The 16,961-nt window shown below is 37.0% G+C and overlaps 1 long non-coding RNA gene across 1 annotated transcript in view; it reads left to right on the top strand.

The window, feature by feature from the left end:
- Positions 1–16,301, top strand: part of LOC105370355 (uncharacterized) — a 37,253-nt gene extending 20,952 nt beyond the window's left edge. The window contains exon 3 of the long non-coding RNA XR_007063863.1: positions 16,239–16,301. This is a non-coding gene — a long non-coding RNA (uncharacterized LOC105370355). The remainder of the gene's footprint in view (positions 1–16,238) is intronic.
- Positions 16,302–16,961: the final 660 nt, after the last annotated feature.

Consider the following 16,961-nt stretch of genomic DNA (forward strand, 5'->3'; position numbering starts at 1 on the left):
AGGCATAGTATTAGTGTGGTTTTATTTGTTTTCGCTGGTGACCTATACAGTGTTTTGGAGGATGTGTAAAGTGATAATAGTTAAGTGATTGTCAGCCACCAAGAAATTCCCCACCACTATTTCTTTTTAACATTTATCATTCTTTTCTTGTTCTCAAAAAGCTATAAAAAGGCAAACGCCCTTAGGATGTCCAGAATGGCTATGATTTGTCATGTCCTTTTGGCAAACGTATTAATAAGGCTTTTAATAAAGAAATGAAAATGTATCTGACATTTTCAAAAAGCCAGTCAAGATTCAGAGTGTTATTTATACCTTAGCAGTCAATTCCCTCAATATTCATATAAAAATTTAATGAAATTACAATTAAAATCCAGCAGAGTGTACCCAATTTAGAACTGAATAAAATGATCTTAAAATGCATATGAAAATTCAAAACTTTGGGAATAGCCATGACAATGCTTTTTAAAACATATTTAACAGATGTCAGCAAATACTGCAAAGCCACTGGAGTCAACTTAATACGGCATTGGGATAGATAAATAGATTAGTTTAACCAAGTAGTACACCAAATAGTTTTAACCAAATAGAAGCAAGGACCAAAGCCCAGTATACATGAGATAAAATATTAGACAAAAAACTGTATTCTAGTTCAGTGGCAAAAGGTAGCTTAATTTTTTTTTTTTTAGACGGAGTCTCTGTCACCTAGGCTGGAGTGAAGTGGTGAGATCTCAGCTCACTGCAACCTCCACCTCCTGGGTTCAAGCAATTCTCCTGCCCCAGCCTCCCGAATAGATGGGATTACAGGCATGTGCCACCACGACTGGCTAATTTTTTTGTATTTTTAGTAGAGTCGGGGTTTCACCATGTTGGCCAGGCTGGTCTCGAACTCCTGACCTAAAGTGATCCACCTGCCTCGGCCTCCCAAAATGCTGGGAATACAGGCATGAGCCACCGCACCCGGCAAGGGTAGCTTATTTAAAAAGTGGTGCTGGCACAATGACTTTCTACATAAAGGGGAATATTTAAAATCTCAGGCAGGAGTGAAGCATCCCATCAGTGGTCCCACGTGTCTGGGTGGTTGGCAAGAACAGAGTGCTAGGGGATAGGCTGGTGAGTGAGGTGGCTTTTTGACTGTGAACATCTTTGCATGTCACATAAGGAGTGTAAATTCAACCTTATGGGGAAAACGGGGAGCCACTTTTTTTCTATTTGGCTGAAGGATGACAATTGTCTATATGTTTTAGGAAAAAGTTGGCAGAAATACAAAGACTTTGTTGAAGGGGAGAAAAGTAAAAGTGCTGAAGGTAGCTAGGACGAGAGAGCTTGGGGAAGCAAGGCATGGAAAGACAGAGGGTTCTAAGAACCTGTGAAGAGCTCTGATTCTTGAGGAGGCAAAACTTGAGGTCAGGCATGGCCTGCTTGATCATCTGCCCAGAGCCACTCATGCCCACCATGTGCGTTGCAGATATTAATACGTTCCCGGCCTCATGTTCTTTCCTCTCTTGCTGTACAGTTATAGTAGGCAAAATGTGCTGTTTGTTTAGCTATCTGTCGTTTTTCTCTCACACCATCGTCCTCCTCTTTCTCAGCTCCTGGCACCAGTGTTCATCATGTGGACCTTCCATCCTCTTTATGGTAATCTGGTTCACGGTCATCAGCTCTGCAGTTTAATACTCACTCAAGGGAAACTGGAGATCTGTAGCTCAAAATGCAACCCAGAGTGTTCCCAAGTTGATGGAGTAGTCAACAGGGAGCGGCACCAGGGGAGGGGCTGCGTTTCCGGGTGTGCCGTGTCCCTCAGCTGCTGCTTGCCTAATGCAGCAGGTGGAGCTCACTTGGGCCACAGCAGACGTACCGCTGTTCGACAAGGATGACTGGGGAGTAAATCTTCTTAAAAACACACGCTAGATTAGCTGTAAAGTCTAATGAAACTGTGTAATGCAACATGTCTTTATTGAAACACAAAACATAGATAAGCCTGAATGCAAGAGTGAATATAAATGTCTTCACGTTACATGAGGATTTCTGTTTTACGTTTTACAAGCTCTCCATTGACTTGGAAGGTCCAGGAAGCAGTGCCTTGCTTTTTTTTTTTTTTTTCCTGAGGCTGTCTGTTATTATGGTTTCTATTGTTATGATTGTATATTATTCTTACATTAGTTTATGTGGTAAATATTTAGTGCCAGGTATTCCAAGAGGAATATTTATTCTCATTTTATTCTTCATTCTCAAAATCATTTTATTTTCAGAACAATCCTTATTTTATCAACTAGGGCTCTGCGATTTCAGCAAGATTAAATAATTTTCCCAAAGTCACACAACTAGGAAGTGAAAAATATGTAATTTAACTCAAGTGTATATGATTCAGAGGAACTGCAGCCTCCCCACACTGTATTTCTTCCTGAATAGGGCCAAACAACTAATTTGAATAGAGAGAAGTGAAGGATGTTTTGGGATATTTTGGCAATGTATTTTGCCTTTACTACAGTTTGTCTTTGTGCCTATAATCTTTTCTTTCTTTTCTTTTCTTTTCTTTTCTTTTCTTTTTCTTTTTTTTTTCTGAGACAGAGTCTTGCTCCGTCACTCAGGCTGGAGTGCAGTGGCGCGATTTCGGCTCACTGCAGCCTCTACCTCCGGAGTTCAAGCAATTCTCCTGCCTCAGCCTCCCGAGTAGCTGGGATTACAGGCATGCCCCACCATGCCCAGCTGATTTTTGTATTTTTAGTAGGGATGGGGTTTCACCATGTTGGGCAGGCTGGTCTCAAACTCCTGACCTCAGGTGATCCACCTGCCACAGCTTCCCAAAGTACTGGGATTACAGGTATGAGCCACTGTGCCCAGCCTCTGTGCCTATAATCTTAATTTAATTGGATAATGCAACCCATCATTTTAATGTGAGCACTGAATTTAAAGAGGATGAAGCTGGTTTTTTATCGTTTCCTTATACTCTTACTGACCAGGTTCAGAATCTGATAGTCACTAGATGTTATTTAGGACAAGTTATATAAGTTTTCTAAAGCTCAGTGTACTCATGTTCCAGATATTAAGTAAAAATAGATGTAAACATATCTAGAGAATAATAACCAGCAAATAAGCCATATCTCCTTCCTGTCTATCACACTATCCCCCTCACATCTCTAGTGCTTTAGACCCATAAAAGTTTACGCTTTAAATTTTAAATAAAACTCCTGTAGTGAGGATAGTGTTTAACCCAAAGGATACATATCTCATAGTGTAATTTTACTATTATGTTAAACAAAGAAAAAAATAATTTTGTGTTTTAGGATCTTCTTGGAATACTCTCAAATCTCAGTAAATTCATGGCTGTTTCTTTAAAATGCGCTCTGAAAATATAAGTTTTGGCTAGCATTCATGGGCAAAGTTAGGCATGAAAAAAAAAGGGAAGAAGTGTTTGGAATGGAAAGAACAAGACCAGCACACAAAGAAGTTCAGACAATTAAAAATTTTGAAATGAAAACATACAAACTTCATGAGAAAATAATGGAAAATAAATCACTAAATAACCATTTTGATAGAAAGCTTTGAATGTTGGGAATACTTAACATTGCCATTTTTATTCTCATCATGTTAATAATATTTTTTTAATCCATTTGGTTTGCTATAAATCCAAGCATCACTATGAATTATCTAAGCTGGAGAAGCTAAAGTTGGAGCAAAAATAAAGAATGACCTTCAATACTAAAGAGCAGAAGCTGGCTGCTTTCACTGTTAAAGATGACAGAACAAGAAGAGAGTCACAGAGAATGTGGTGTTCAAGTTCTATTTTCCCTGAAAGTAACAGATGTGGATTGTGACTGTTTGCTGAGGGAAATTGTGCAATTTTTTCTCTAGAGAGTTTGGTATGGCTTTGCCAGAAGACAATGTATTACCCGACTATCACAATTCATCCCCTTGCCTGCGGGAAATATAATTCTTTATTTGAGAGCTCGAATTATCTTCTATTTTGTTTCAAAGAATCTGGAATTCTATGACCACCATAGAAAAAAGAATGTCATTCATTTCTGGAATTTGTTACACTGGAAATATAACTCAAAGTCTTTGCCAAGAGTTCCTTTTTCTGAGCTAATCCTCTGATGGCCATTACATTTAAAGTCAAAATACAGCCTTTAACTTCTCACTGGAGACTCTCAGAGGTCTCTCAGCTGAGGAAGGCACTTATGTCCAAAGTGATATACACAAATGGTCAAAACTATGTAATGTCAATGAAGACAAATTGTTGGAAGTACCTGAAATATTTTGAAACTTGATGTACAGAAAATAGGGTAGTAAAAAATGTCCTGTCATTGAACTAGGTAATTGAAGAATCACTGAGTGGAAGCCTGCACAGAAAGAAAGACAGGAAGATGAATTTAGCTTTCCTCTTCATCAATATAATATTGACAGAATAACTAACGGTATAGCTCTTGTATGAAAAATTGTAAGTAAGGCTGACAGATATACTGGTGAGGTCTGTTCACTTGCTTTGTTCTAATGGGTTTATTTTGGGGACCCATCAGCTTCTATTTAAAATATTAAATAGAAAATTGACACACAGTAGTTTGTTCTAAAAGCTTTACATATCTCACTCCATCAATGATCATTTTTTTTGAGTACATGCAAGACAAATGTCAGACTCACAATATTCAAAGATGGGGAAGATGTGGGGCCTCTTTTCAATAAACTGTCAGTCTTCAAGGTTGCTGGAGTCCATCTCTGCAGGGGGAAACTGGGTAGATATTAGTTAAATATTAATCTACCTCTTTACCGTGCATGGCCAGCAACTAGGGCGTAATTCCTGCAGTACTGTTTGGCTCCCCGACACATTTACATTATTTTTATTTTTATTTTTACCTTTTCTACAGATGAAACCAGAGAAGGGGTCATGCAGATGGTAATAGCCATCCAAGGAGGGCGATGACCCCTTGTTAGTATTTAACCCATCTTCTGAACAACAGGCAGTGTGGTACTCACGAGATCACCAAACATTTTCTTCAATCTGAGGAATGGTTGCAGCCTAGGGCTCTCAGTAGTGAGGAACTGTATTGTGCTTTTTCATTTTATAAGAATGCTATGTTAGCCATCAGAGCTGTCACCGTACATTCACATGTCCAATATCCATGTCGGAGAAGCTGGTATTTCTGTTTCTGACCAACAAATGATATTTAAGGGAACTTCATTTATAAGAACATTGATCCATGCACTACTTTGCTGCATATGCTTTTGATATATAAACAGATCATGACTCAGACATGCAAAGGGGCATTTAGTTTATGTCTCCATAGGCTAAGTTAGCTGATCCATGCATTGATTTCAATATGAAAATCAACTTTGTTTCTTTGTTCATTTATTTAATTGAATTTACTTCCTTGATATGCTCTTTTAGTGTTGCATGTGCAAAACCATAATCTTATGCCTTGCTGCCCAGATCGCAATCTTTGAAGACTCATCCTTGAAGCACTGTGCAGAATTGTGAAGCAGATTTTAATTGGTGGGCTATTATGTTCTGGGTCCTGTTCTAGTTTTGGGAGATGCAGTAAGGAACAAAACATACAAAAATCTCTGCTCAGGGAGCTTACATTTCAATGGAAGGGATAGATAATAAACAAAACACACAGCACACGCAATAGTGGCAAGCACTTAGGAGGAAATGTTTAAAATGGAGCAGGCATATGAAACGTCAGAGCTGGGGAGAGGAGTGGGTGTTGACATTGAGGTAGCATGGCCAGAGAAAACATCACACAGAGGGTGACTTTTGGGTGAAAACTGAAGGAAACGAGGGAGCTATGCATGCAGCTAAAAGGAATGAGGGCAGAAAGGAAGCAGGAAGTAGAAGAGCATTGGGGTGTGGGTGGCCGGCATGTCTGGAGAGCTAGAGAGAGGCCAGTGCACCTGGAGTGCAGAAAACGAGGAGGAGGCTGAAAAGTAAAGAGGTCAGGCAATAGGGAGCCTTGTAGAGCCTGGCTTTTACTCTGACATGGGAGTCTCTTGTGGAGTTTTTCACATAGGAGGGATAAGGTATGATGTATGCTTTAACAGGTTCATCCTGACTGCTGTGTTGAGAATATACTACAGAGAAGCCATGGTAGAATCGGGCAGAAAGTTAGAGCAATACCTAAGGGGAGAGCTCATGGTGGCTTTGATAAAGGAGTTGACCATGAAGATAATAAGAAAACACAGGATGATGTGCTGCTGTAAGGAATAAGGAGGTGAGAGGAAGAGAAGACTCAGGAAAATAGAGTTGCTGTTACTTGAGTTTGGGAAGATTGTGAGATGAGATCATGTGGGTAGGGATATGTAAATTTGCTTTAGGGCGTAAGTTTTTGGTGCTAGTATGATTCCAAATGTGGGGATCAGTGGACAGGTGGATATATATTTTCTGGAGTTTGGGGAAAAATCTGAGCTTCAGATATAAATATGAAACTTGTCAACAAACAGGTAATAATTAAAGATATGATACTGAGTGACTAGAGAATTAGTAATAATTTTTTTTTTTAAAGCCCCGTGGGAACAGGCAGAGGGGCAGGACTGGAGCAGAGGCTTGGTCAACGTTTGAGGTTCCTATTAGGTCTGTGGTGTTTACTAGATGTCAGAGGAATTCCAGTCCCACTTTTGGGAGCAGCTTCCATTCAATGCTCACAATGAATCACCTGACTTCGTTAAAGTTCAAACTTGAGTCTAAATATTAAAGAACCATAAAATCCAAGTCTTTAGTGTGTAAAGAGGAGAAGGGTTGAAGTAGGCAAAAATGAGGTGTTTAGTCATTAGTAATTCTGCTGATACAAATATTGTTATAAAATTAAGTATATATTTATGTATATTAAAATATTAAATTAATATTGAATATATATTTAAAATTTTAAAATTATAGGCATTGACAGAATTTTGGCTAAATTTCTCAAAACAGTCTCAGAATAAGCAGAAGTTATCATTCTTTGGCCCTGAAGAAAGTCAACAAGGAAAATGCCTTGAGCATCCCCAAGAAGCTATTGACGTGACCTTTGCTCTTGACCTGTCTGCTTTTGCTTTGACTGGCCCACTTTCACCTCTCAGTAGCCATTGCTTTGATTATGCTTTGCCTTCAGGATCATACTGGTAAAGCATGTTTCATCTTCTGTTACAATTCTTCAAAGAAATTCTTCAGGATCTTGATCCCCCTTGTTTAAAATTTCCATTGAAAGCTCTGTTCTTGTCTGCCGCTGATCTGGATGCAAAAATTTTGGTCATTAGGTGGAAAATTTTCTCAACTTTAATTTTTCAGAAAGAATTGTGAAAGCTGAACCAGGTGAGATGTCGGTGGCATTGGCTTGTGTTTCTGCTGCTAATCGTCAGTCCTCTTCAATTTGGGTAAAACAATAACATTTTTTCTTTGCAAATTGATGTGAATGGCCTGCCCATGCAGGCTTCGTCTTCAATATCATCTTGTCCCTTATTAAAATGAGTTGTCCATGTATAAACTGCTGATTTCTTTGGGACATTGTCCCCATAAACTTTTCATAAAGCATCAGTGATAGCACCATTTTTCCAGAAGCTTCCTCATAAATTTGACATTTGTCCTTGCTTCAATTTGAGCAGAAGTTATGTTCCTCTGATAGAGGATCTTTTCAAAGTGCTTTCTTCTTAGTACTTCAAACTAGATCCTGTTCAGACATATAACAAAGTAGTGCAAGTTTTATTTTAGTACAAAAAAGTTTTGAAATCCATGCATATTTTTTTCATCATACACATTTTTCATGAGCCTTTTGAACACTTTTTGTGTATGTATATATATTTTTTAGACATATATGTATTAAACTAAAATTGACTATTCATCAGTATTATACCTGGCATCTTGAAATTATCAATAATCAATGATTGTAAGGACATACATTTGATTCTTAAAATTATTTACCATTGTAGCATATTACTTAGAATTATTGTTAATATCTTATATCTTAAGCATTTTTCTTATAGATCTCAAAATATTATTAACATCTTAAAATGCATTATCAATATTCATATCAAATAAGGTATTTTGGCTGTAACTCGACGTGAGCATCTCCTTATGTATTTCATATATTGAGATTTTGTAGTTGAAATATAATTATACACTGTATTTATTATTGCAAAAGTCAAATGCGATAATTTGTGATGATGGTAATTTATGTATAAAATAATTAGGAACTTTCATGTAACTAACAAATACACATAGAGATTGAAAAGTGATAGCAAAAGTAACTGCAAGTGCATTAGGTAGATATTGCTGGAATGATCGTTGTGTAATTTATAAGTGGATATAAATCAAAAATTATTTAAATTAAAACTTAAATAATATTTAAGGCAGGATAATAAAGATTAGATAATATCACAAATCCAAACTTTGAAGAAATATAAATGGTATTTATAACATAAAACAACATAAATTTTAAAAGCTGTATTTTTTAAAATTCTTAATTAAATGCTGACTTGACCTTTAATTTTTCTAAATAAAAATCCTATTTGGGCATTCTTGACATCTTGTAAAAGTGAAGTAAAAGTAGAATATCCACTTGGTGTCTTCAAAATTTAAAATAAAGAATATATCCAATACCACATAAATAACATCAGTGATTATCAATGAAAAATACGTAGATTAAAAATCATGGAAAGCGTATTGGAGAGAAATAGGGTACTCGGATATCGCAAAGGTGCAGTACACTGATTGTAGCAGACATCCAATAGCTAAGTGTGCAGAAGGGATTATTCCTGTGGTTCCATGTAAAACCTTTAAAATGAAGCCACTCAAAATGTTAAGAGTAAAATGTTTATACTTTAAAAAGTTGATGTATTAGATTTATTCCTATATTGAGAGGTTAATGCTATGATGACATTAGTCTTTGGTGGAATAATGATTTTAAGACTCGGCCATTAAGAATCTGGATAAAATATTATTTGAGTGTCTTTTTCTCTATGTATTAATTCATTCATATATATTTACATAAATTGTTTCTCTGTCTCTGTGTCCATGTTTCTAGCAATCAGTCTTTGAAACATAATGTAATGTTTTTCAGCACTTCAGATTTTTCACTGCTGAATCCAGGCTGCAGGTGCTTCTTTTTCTCTAACTTTTATTTTCCTTATTTTCCCCACAATTGATAATTTTATTTTGTTCTTAATTGTTTTATTCATTACAGACTAGATTACCAACTAGATGGAAAAGTGGCTTTTTTTTTTTTTTTAACAGGGAAAAAGGACCTAGAAAGCACTCAAAAAATACTTTCTTGTTAAGTGATACTAATTTTATAGTCATTTCTTTCTTCTCTTGCTGGAAATAGTCATGGTCCTAATTTTAGACTATAGAATTTAAAGAGAGATGAGACTATTGAAAGTACTTTCGTGATTTAAATTTTCAAAAGTGTATCTTAGTGACTACTTATTGACTTTACCATAAAGATATATTTGTCAACTCCATTAGGATTTAGTTATTTGCCAAAAACAAAAAAAATTTTAAAGAAGAGAGAAGAAAAGCAATTCCATTATTAGAATCTCCATAATGGTATCATCTTTTAACTATATTTTGACTACCACCTCCTGTATTTAGAGAGCGTGATGCTAAAAATACCATCTGGGACAACTGGGTTGTAGACTGCAGAAACTACAGCTGTTCTGGGGGTAAACGTTGATCAATGCCATCTGCATGCCAGTTGTTAATTACTACCATAGCAAAGCTTTTCTTTTTCTTTTTAAAAAATGGAAATAAGGCCACAGCATTAGACCTTTCACGCAGCATGGAATTTCTTTCTAAAAATCCTCAGAGTATGGTAACGTAGCGTAATGAATTATATAAATGATGTGTTTGAATACAGTACCACTAGAGGAATTGACAGCAAAAAGCCAAATATATGTAGCTTAATTCCATAAACTGCTGGAGATAGATACGAAATCTGCAAGACAGGAGAAAATCTTCATTAGGTTTATAAATTGCATTTACTAAATAGTAAAATACTTATGGCCAACACAAGTGATGATCCTTCAAATTCAGCCTTATCGATTTGGCCTGGGTCCTGAGTCCAGGAGTTGTGCTAGGCACTCACACATCATAATCTCATTTTAACCTTTTGTAGGTGTAGGGAATAATGCTCACCCAGGACAAAGTACTTGCCCCAAATCACCCATTGATTCTTGTAGATTCACAATATAAAATTAAAAGTTAAAATTGGAAAATCAATTCACAAGGAGTGGAAACTAACAAAGGACAATGGAGGTGAAGGAAATGTACATGGGGTGGTCTACAAATCCATCCACACTATCAAAAGACTCCCAGGGCATACCCTCCCAACAGTAGGTCAGAAATCTCACCTTCATTCCAGAATGGCAGCACATTAAAATGAAAAGACTGTGATTTTAGAATCACAAATGGACTGGCATTACTATTTTTAACCTCTAAGTGGAGGTGACAATGACATCCTCTGTAGCACATTATTCAGAAACTGTTTTTATAACTATGAAGGTATATTCTTAGCAGGCATTTCAACAACTTAAAAAATTAAGAACAATAACACTCTTTACAGAGTGCCCATATATTTTCCCTAAATTAATTCCTGCTAATGCTATTTTGCTGAGATGTTAATGAATTCTGCTAAGGTGAAGGTGCAATATAGAATGGCACAGTGGCAAGAATTTTCACTGAGAGCTCATGACTTCTCTTGTGTTGTCTCTAACTTTAATGGACTTTGGGATAATGATGACAAACATGACAAACATGAAGAAATAGAAAAACAAATCACAAAAATGGGTCTTACAGTGAAAAACAAAGCTCATCATTCATAGGTAATCAACGGTTGAGCTATAATGAAGTCTGGGTAGAGGTCGCCACTCTCACTGTCCACCCTCCCGTATGAGGACAAAAGTGACCTGGTGAGACATAATGACCTTAAGTCGTGAGACTTGACCCCAGTCCCCGCTTTATGTCTACTAACTGCACAACCCAGCCTTTCTGCTGAAGTTTCTTACTCTGTTAGAAGGAAGATAATATAATTTGTCTGACTACTTCTCAAGGACACTGTGAAGGTCAAATGAAGGAGTAAGGGTGTGAGAAAGAACTCTGTGAGCTCTGAGGGGTGATGTGATAGGAAGGCTTTCCTCCCTGGCTACACACTGGAATCATCTCGGGGGAGGTAAAATTGCCAATGCCAGGGCCACACTCAAGAACAATTCAATCATAATCTTTGGGAATAAGACCCAGGCATTAATGCATTAATGTTTATTTAAAGAAGCTCAGTGGCTTCTCTTTGGTAGCCTAGGTTGAGACCCACAGGATTATGGGGATGTTAAGAATACTGCTAAATGCACAATGTGCTTGCTGTCTTCCTCATTCTGAAATTCCCCACGCAGCCTCTATGGCAAGCCTGCTGAGCCCAGAAAGCCACAGTTTAGCGCCTTCATTACTCACACCCAGTGCTGTAGACCTCCCTCCTATAGATGGGCTACTGTGAGTGATAGCTGCTAGCTGTGTGCTCACTAGCTATGTGCTAATACAATCCTACAGTTAGATTAGAAAATAGTATGGACTAAATGACAATTTGAGACCTAAGGAAATGAGATAAAAAGAATTAATGGCATGATATTATGAGGACAAACACCAATACAGAACACATTTCCCCCCAAGATACAGAGTAGCTAAATACAAATTATCTAAATAATGAAATATTTCCAAACCATGGTAGAAATAGTCATTTATTCAATTATACAGGAACATCTCAAGTTGAATTGTTTTTAAATAGGAGAAGTGTTTTTAAATGATATTCCCAAATTAGAGTGGAGATATTTGTGATAAATTCAAATGTAGAATTTAGAAACAGATGTGAACTTGCTGATTATAATTATGCTCATTCTAAGGTGAGGAAATTATTCTCTGGATGGATATGGCAAGCTATCTTCATTGGATTAGATGCTTCAAATTTTTATTTCCTGTATTTTTTTGAAGTGTTTATTCACCTAATCCTTGAAGGTCCACATGATCCAAGAATCTTTTAAGAAATGTGCTTGATAAAGACCAATTTATTTTTTCAGAGTCAGCCAACAGTTTCTTACTCCTCAATGGAACAATTAACCGTCAGCGGCCCCATCATACCTCACAGAATTTTAACAATACCATTTCACAGGCAATCTGAATCTCTCCAAAAAGCAATCTTCACTCCAACTTGGCTTTTTCCCTGTCATGGCTTATCAATTCCAGCAACAGTATTCATGGAACGTGTGTATGTAGCATAAACTCCAGGAAAGAAGGTTGTCAATTTTAAGATATCAATTGAGCAGAGGTCTATCATTAATCTTTGAATCTTATTTTGGAGAAGATTGGACCACACGGCAATTATAGTGGTGACTGCTGAGTGCTTGAGACATTGTTTATACATGTCCCATTTAAGAAAAAGCAAGCAGGCTTATGAGCTATGATAAGCCCATCATATATCTTATACCTGCTTGTCAGCCACACGCCTGACAATTCCTCTTTGCTCTGAAACAATCAGATGACAACTTAGTTGGAAATTATTTAGATAATCCAGATTCCAACGATTGAAGAAGGCTCTGTTTCTGAGTCCTGAGTTGTTGTTTTTGTTGTCTAATTATTGTTATTACGATGAGTAAACTGATCCTTTCACAGCACTGATAATATAATTCCCAGGGAAGCTTAGGAAAATGAATGAATTGGAACATCTAGCTTTTATACATCCTGTGGGAGCACGAACAGGAGGAAGATATTTTTTCCAGGAATTAGTCTGAAAATGTAAAGAGTTAATGCAATTAATTTCTGCTCAACAACAAAATGGTTAGCCACCTTCTCGGGAAGAAGGCAAGGTCAAGAAAATCTGAAACAGAATGAAGCTGACTTCAAGCAGGATCAAAGCCAGCAACGATGTGGGGAAGTAGACAGGTGGGAGCATCGGCGGAGGCACATGTGAGCTTCCAGACGTGCTGGAGTGACCAGGTCAAGGCGTTGGCCATGTGTTAGCAAATCTTGCAGCTGCCAAGCTCAGTGCAGGGTGACAGCACCAGTTGCTTAGCATGACGTGGGGAAAAGATCCAGGCTGAGAGAGGAAACAGGTGCAGGATGGCTCAGGACAAGGGTGGGACGAATGAGTGTCTGTTGTTTGACCGCCATCAGGTCTCTTTGGTATTGTTTCCAGAGTCAAAGGTAGAGCACAGAAAGGAATCAGAATTATTTTATTTTTATTTACTTAACTTCTGTATCCACTGTACTGAAATATTTGCAGAAAATGGATATGTGTTTATGCACCAATGAATATTTTAGCCTATGTGCTAATACAATGCTACAGTTCCATAAAGGGATCCAGGAAATGTTTAATGAACTGCCTCAACATCACTTAAAAGCTCATTCAGGTCAGTGTTTGGGTTTGAATCCCGGCACACCGCTTTCCAGATGTCTGACAATTCCTTCACCTTTCTCTGCCTCAGTTTCCTCCTATGGACCATGGGGATTGTTCTAGTCACTACTTGATTCCACTGTTGGGAGGATTAAATACATTTATTCTTGATAAAAACACTAAAACACTAAAAAATAGCAGCTATTATTTTCTCAAAAGTCTTTTACACAAGTAGTCTAAATATACATCCTGGTGAAACCACTGAATTTGTTAAGGTTTTTTGCATCCTGACTGGCTGTGTTGAGTGAATTAGCTTGGAGGCAGAGGTATGATTCTCAGAGCAAACTTCAATTAATGAATTGAATTCATCTAGTTACCAGGAATACAGCAAAAAAATTGAAAAGCTTGAAGTAATTTTTTAAATATAATCAAGAGACTGTCAATTTGTATGTATGTCTTAAGAAACAAATAGAGCAGAAGCAATTTAAAAAAACATGAGGTCCTGTTCCATCATTTTCCACTTGGTTTACTGCCCAAAGCAGCAAGTTCTTTATGTAATTGAAGAAAAACATGTATGTACATGAAAACGCACAACTTATAGGTGTACAGGGTGCATTTCTGTAAAGTGAGCCCTTTTATGTAGCCACTGCCTGCATCAAGCTGCAGAGATGTGATGTCCAATGCATGTGGTTGTTTAGCATTTACCATGCAGTTACCAAAACTGGCTATTTTTATTTATTGTATAACTTTTAAGCATACTTGAAACAACTTTAGCATGTGAATTTACTTTTTATCTATAAAATTTATAAAATCTAAGTACAGATCAAGAACTTCTGTTGAAAAATTAACATCTGAATTCAGATGAATTGTAAATGTAAAATACGTAACTGATTGGAAAGACTTAGTACCAGGAATGTAAAATAACTCAATAAATTCTGTATTTATTCCATGTTAGGTTAAATAAAATATAATGAAAGTATGATCTGTATCCTTTTACATTTTAAAAATGTGGCTACCGCTAACCATTTCATCACATGTAGCTTCTATTCTATTAATTTTCATCCAGAATATTCCTACCCTGATGACTACTTTGTGCCTGTACCTAGCAGTAGTGGGAGTCTTCTTAGTACTCTTTAATTTCCCATGGTTTGAGAATACCACCATTTATTTATTTACTCATTCTACTGGTCATTTGGATTATTTTCTTTTTTTTTTTCTTTTTCTGCAATTTGGCTCAAGAAACCAGGCTTTTCTAACCCTTCAGAACCCTACTTTGTATGGAATCTCTCTATTCCTAACATTGTTGCATGTGGTGTCTCCAATTCTTTCTCGAGGTCATTTTTTTTTTTCTTATACAGTGTAGTTAAATGCAGTCTACTGGACCAGCATACACTTTAAATTTTTTTATTTTCATAGATCTTAAGAGGTACAAATGCTGTTTTCCAACCTTTCCTCTAGATTCACGGCAACAGAGGCTCTACTCTTAGAAATGCTTTCTCGTTGCGTCACATGTACTTCCTGCAGTCTACCCTGCAAAATTGTTTGCTGGCTACTACACCCCATTTCAACGCCAAGACCACATATTTTAGGTTTTTGTTACAGCAGTAGCTCAAGTCAAGGTACCAATTTCTATTTCAGTCAGAGTGTATGATCTGCCAAAAAAAAATTACCCAGAATCTCAGCTTAACATAACCACAGTTTATTTCTTGCGCATGTCCCCTACTGACTTCATAGTGGGTAGCTACTGCTATTCACACATCAGTCATTCATGAACCCAAATTTTCTTCAAATGCCTTAACCATTCCAAACTTCTCAGTATCTGAATGGATCATCTGCATTCAGGCAACAAAGGAAGATAGACTTGAGGGGAGAAGAACAGTGTGGCTCTGAAACACAAACATGGTCTGGTGGAATATCCCAGGAAAAAAAGCATAGCATGGGTGATATCCATCCCAGCCCTTCTCCTCTGCAAAGTCCTTTTCAATTTCCTTTGGTGCCATCTTAGTTAAATTCTTCTGATCTCCAACATTGGAAATTATCATGTATCATCTTTAATAATGTATTTTCCTCATTTTCAGGGGAATCATTATAAATTGTACACTATACCTCCTATATAGATAATCTACATTGCTTATCTTTTCATGTCATTTTTCTTTTTTTCTCTTTTATTGTTCAATTCATATGCACCTTCCAATTAAAGTTTTGTGAGTTTTGTTGTTGCTTCCTGTTCTTTGACTTGTTTTCCTGGGCCAATTTGTTTTTCTTTGGACTTTCCTTTTCCTATTACAGAAGTTCTTAAATGACTTAGGTTTCTTGATTGCTCACGTTTAAGAAACAATGACAGAGAAGCTGAATAGGAATTCTGTATGTGTTGGTTAGCCTGTGACCTGGCAGAGTGCACTCTGTGATGATTGGAAATGAGCCAGCCAGTGAGCTGGAGCACCCTTGAATGTGAAAATAAGTCAGCTTTATGCTAAGATTTCAAAGCCATCTCCAATTTCCTTGTGTCCCCCTGAACACATCTTCAGAGAATACCCCCAGGAGTTATTTATAGTTGTTTTGTTTTGCTTATGTTTTAGGTGTTACCTGGGCACACATGATGCTTGAGAGGTGGTTTTAGAGAGAGGATATGGACCACGTTCTCCCATCCTGTCTCTTTTCATACTTAAAATCTCTCCTGGGCTCTGCCCAGCAGGTGGGCTCCTGCCTCTACTCTCTAAGACTAATTTTCAGCCTAATTTGTCGATAGAGAACTCTGTCTACTTTCTGTCTTCCAAGTACAGTTGACCCTTGAACAACAGAAGTTTGAACTTCACATATCCATTTATGCTCAGATTTTCTTCTGCTTCTGCTATCCCTGAGATGTCAAGACTAACTCCTCCTCTTCTTCCTTCTCAGTCTTCTCAATGCGAAGATGATGAGAATGGAGACTTTTATGATGATCCACTTCCACTTAATGAATAGTGAGTGTATTTTCTCTTCCTTATTTTCTTAATAACTTTATTTTCTCTAGGTTACTTAATTGTAAAAATACAGCATGTAATACATATAACATACAAACTATGTGTTAACCTACCATTTATGTTATCAGTAATGTTTCCAGTCAGCACTAGGCTATTAGTAGTTAAGTTTTGGGGAAGCCAAAACTCACACGTGGTTTTTCAACTACGTAGCAGTCATCAGCCCTAACCCCCGAGTTCAAGGGTCAACTGTACTTATTTCCAATCACCATCTGATGGCTCGTACATATCTTTTACTTTTTATATGCTTGTAGACTTTTTTCTTTATTTTCAATTACATATATCAGATTTGGGAAAGGAGAGAATATTCTTAATCTATCATTTGAACAGGAGTTCCTGGTTGTTACACTTAAATTGATCCAAGAGAGGGTATTTCTTTTTCTGGAGGCCAATTGAATGGTGAAATGGAGTTGCAAAGCATTTGGCAGCATATTGATTTCACTGGACTATTTAAGGTAAGTGTGTCGGACAGGAGTTCCCTGCTATATTCTGGGGATTTTCAGACTCATTGCAAGATCTAATTGATGGAAGAGCCAGGAATCTGCTTTATTTTTCTCTCACAGAGCTCAGTATTAGTTTTGTATCAAAAGTGTCATTGTCA

This window comes from Homo sapiens, chromosome 13 (genome assembly GCF_000001405.40).
Source record: "Homo sapiens chromosome 13, GRCh38.p14 Primary Assembly".
Taxonomy (NCBI): Eukaryota; Metazoa; Chordata; class Mammalia; order Primates; family Hominidae; genus Homo; species Homo sapiens.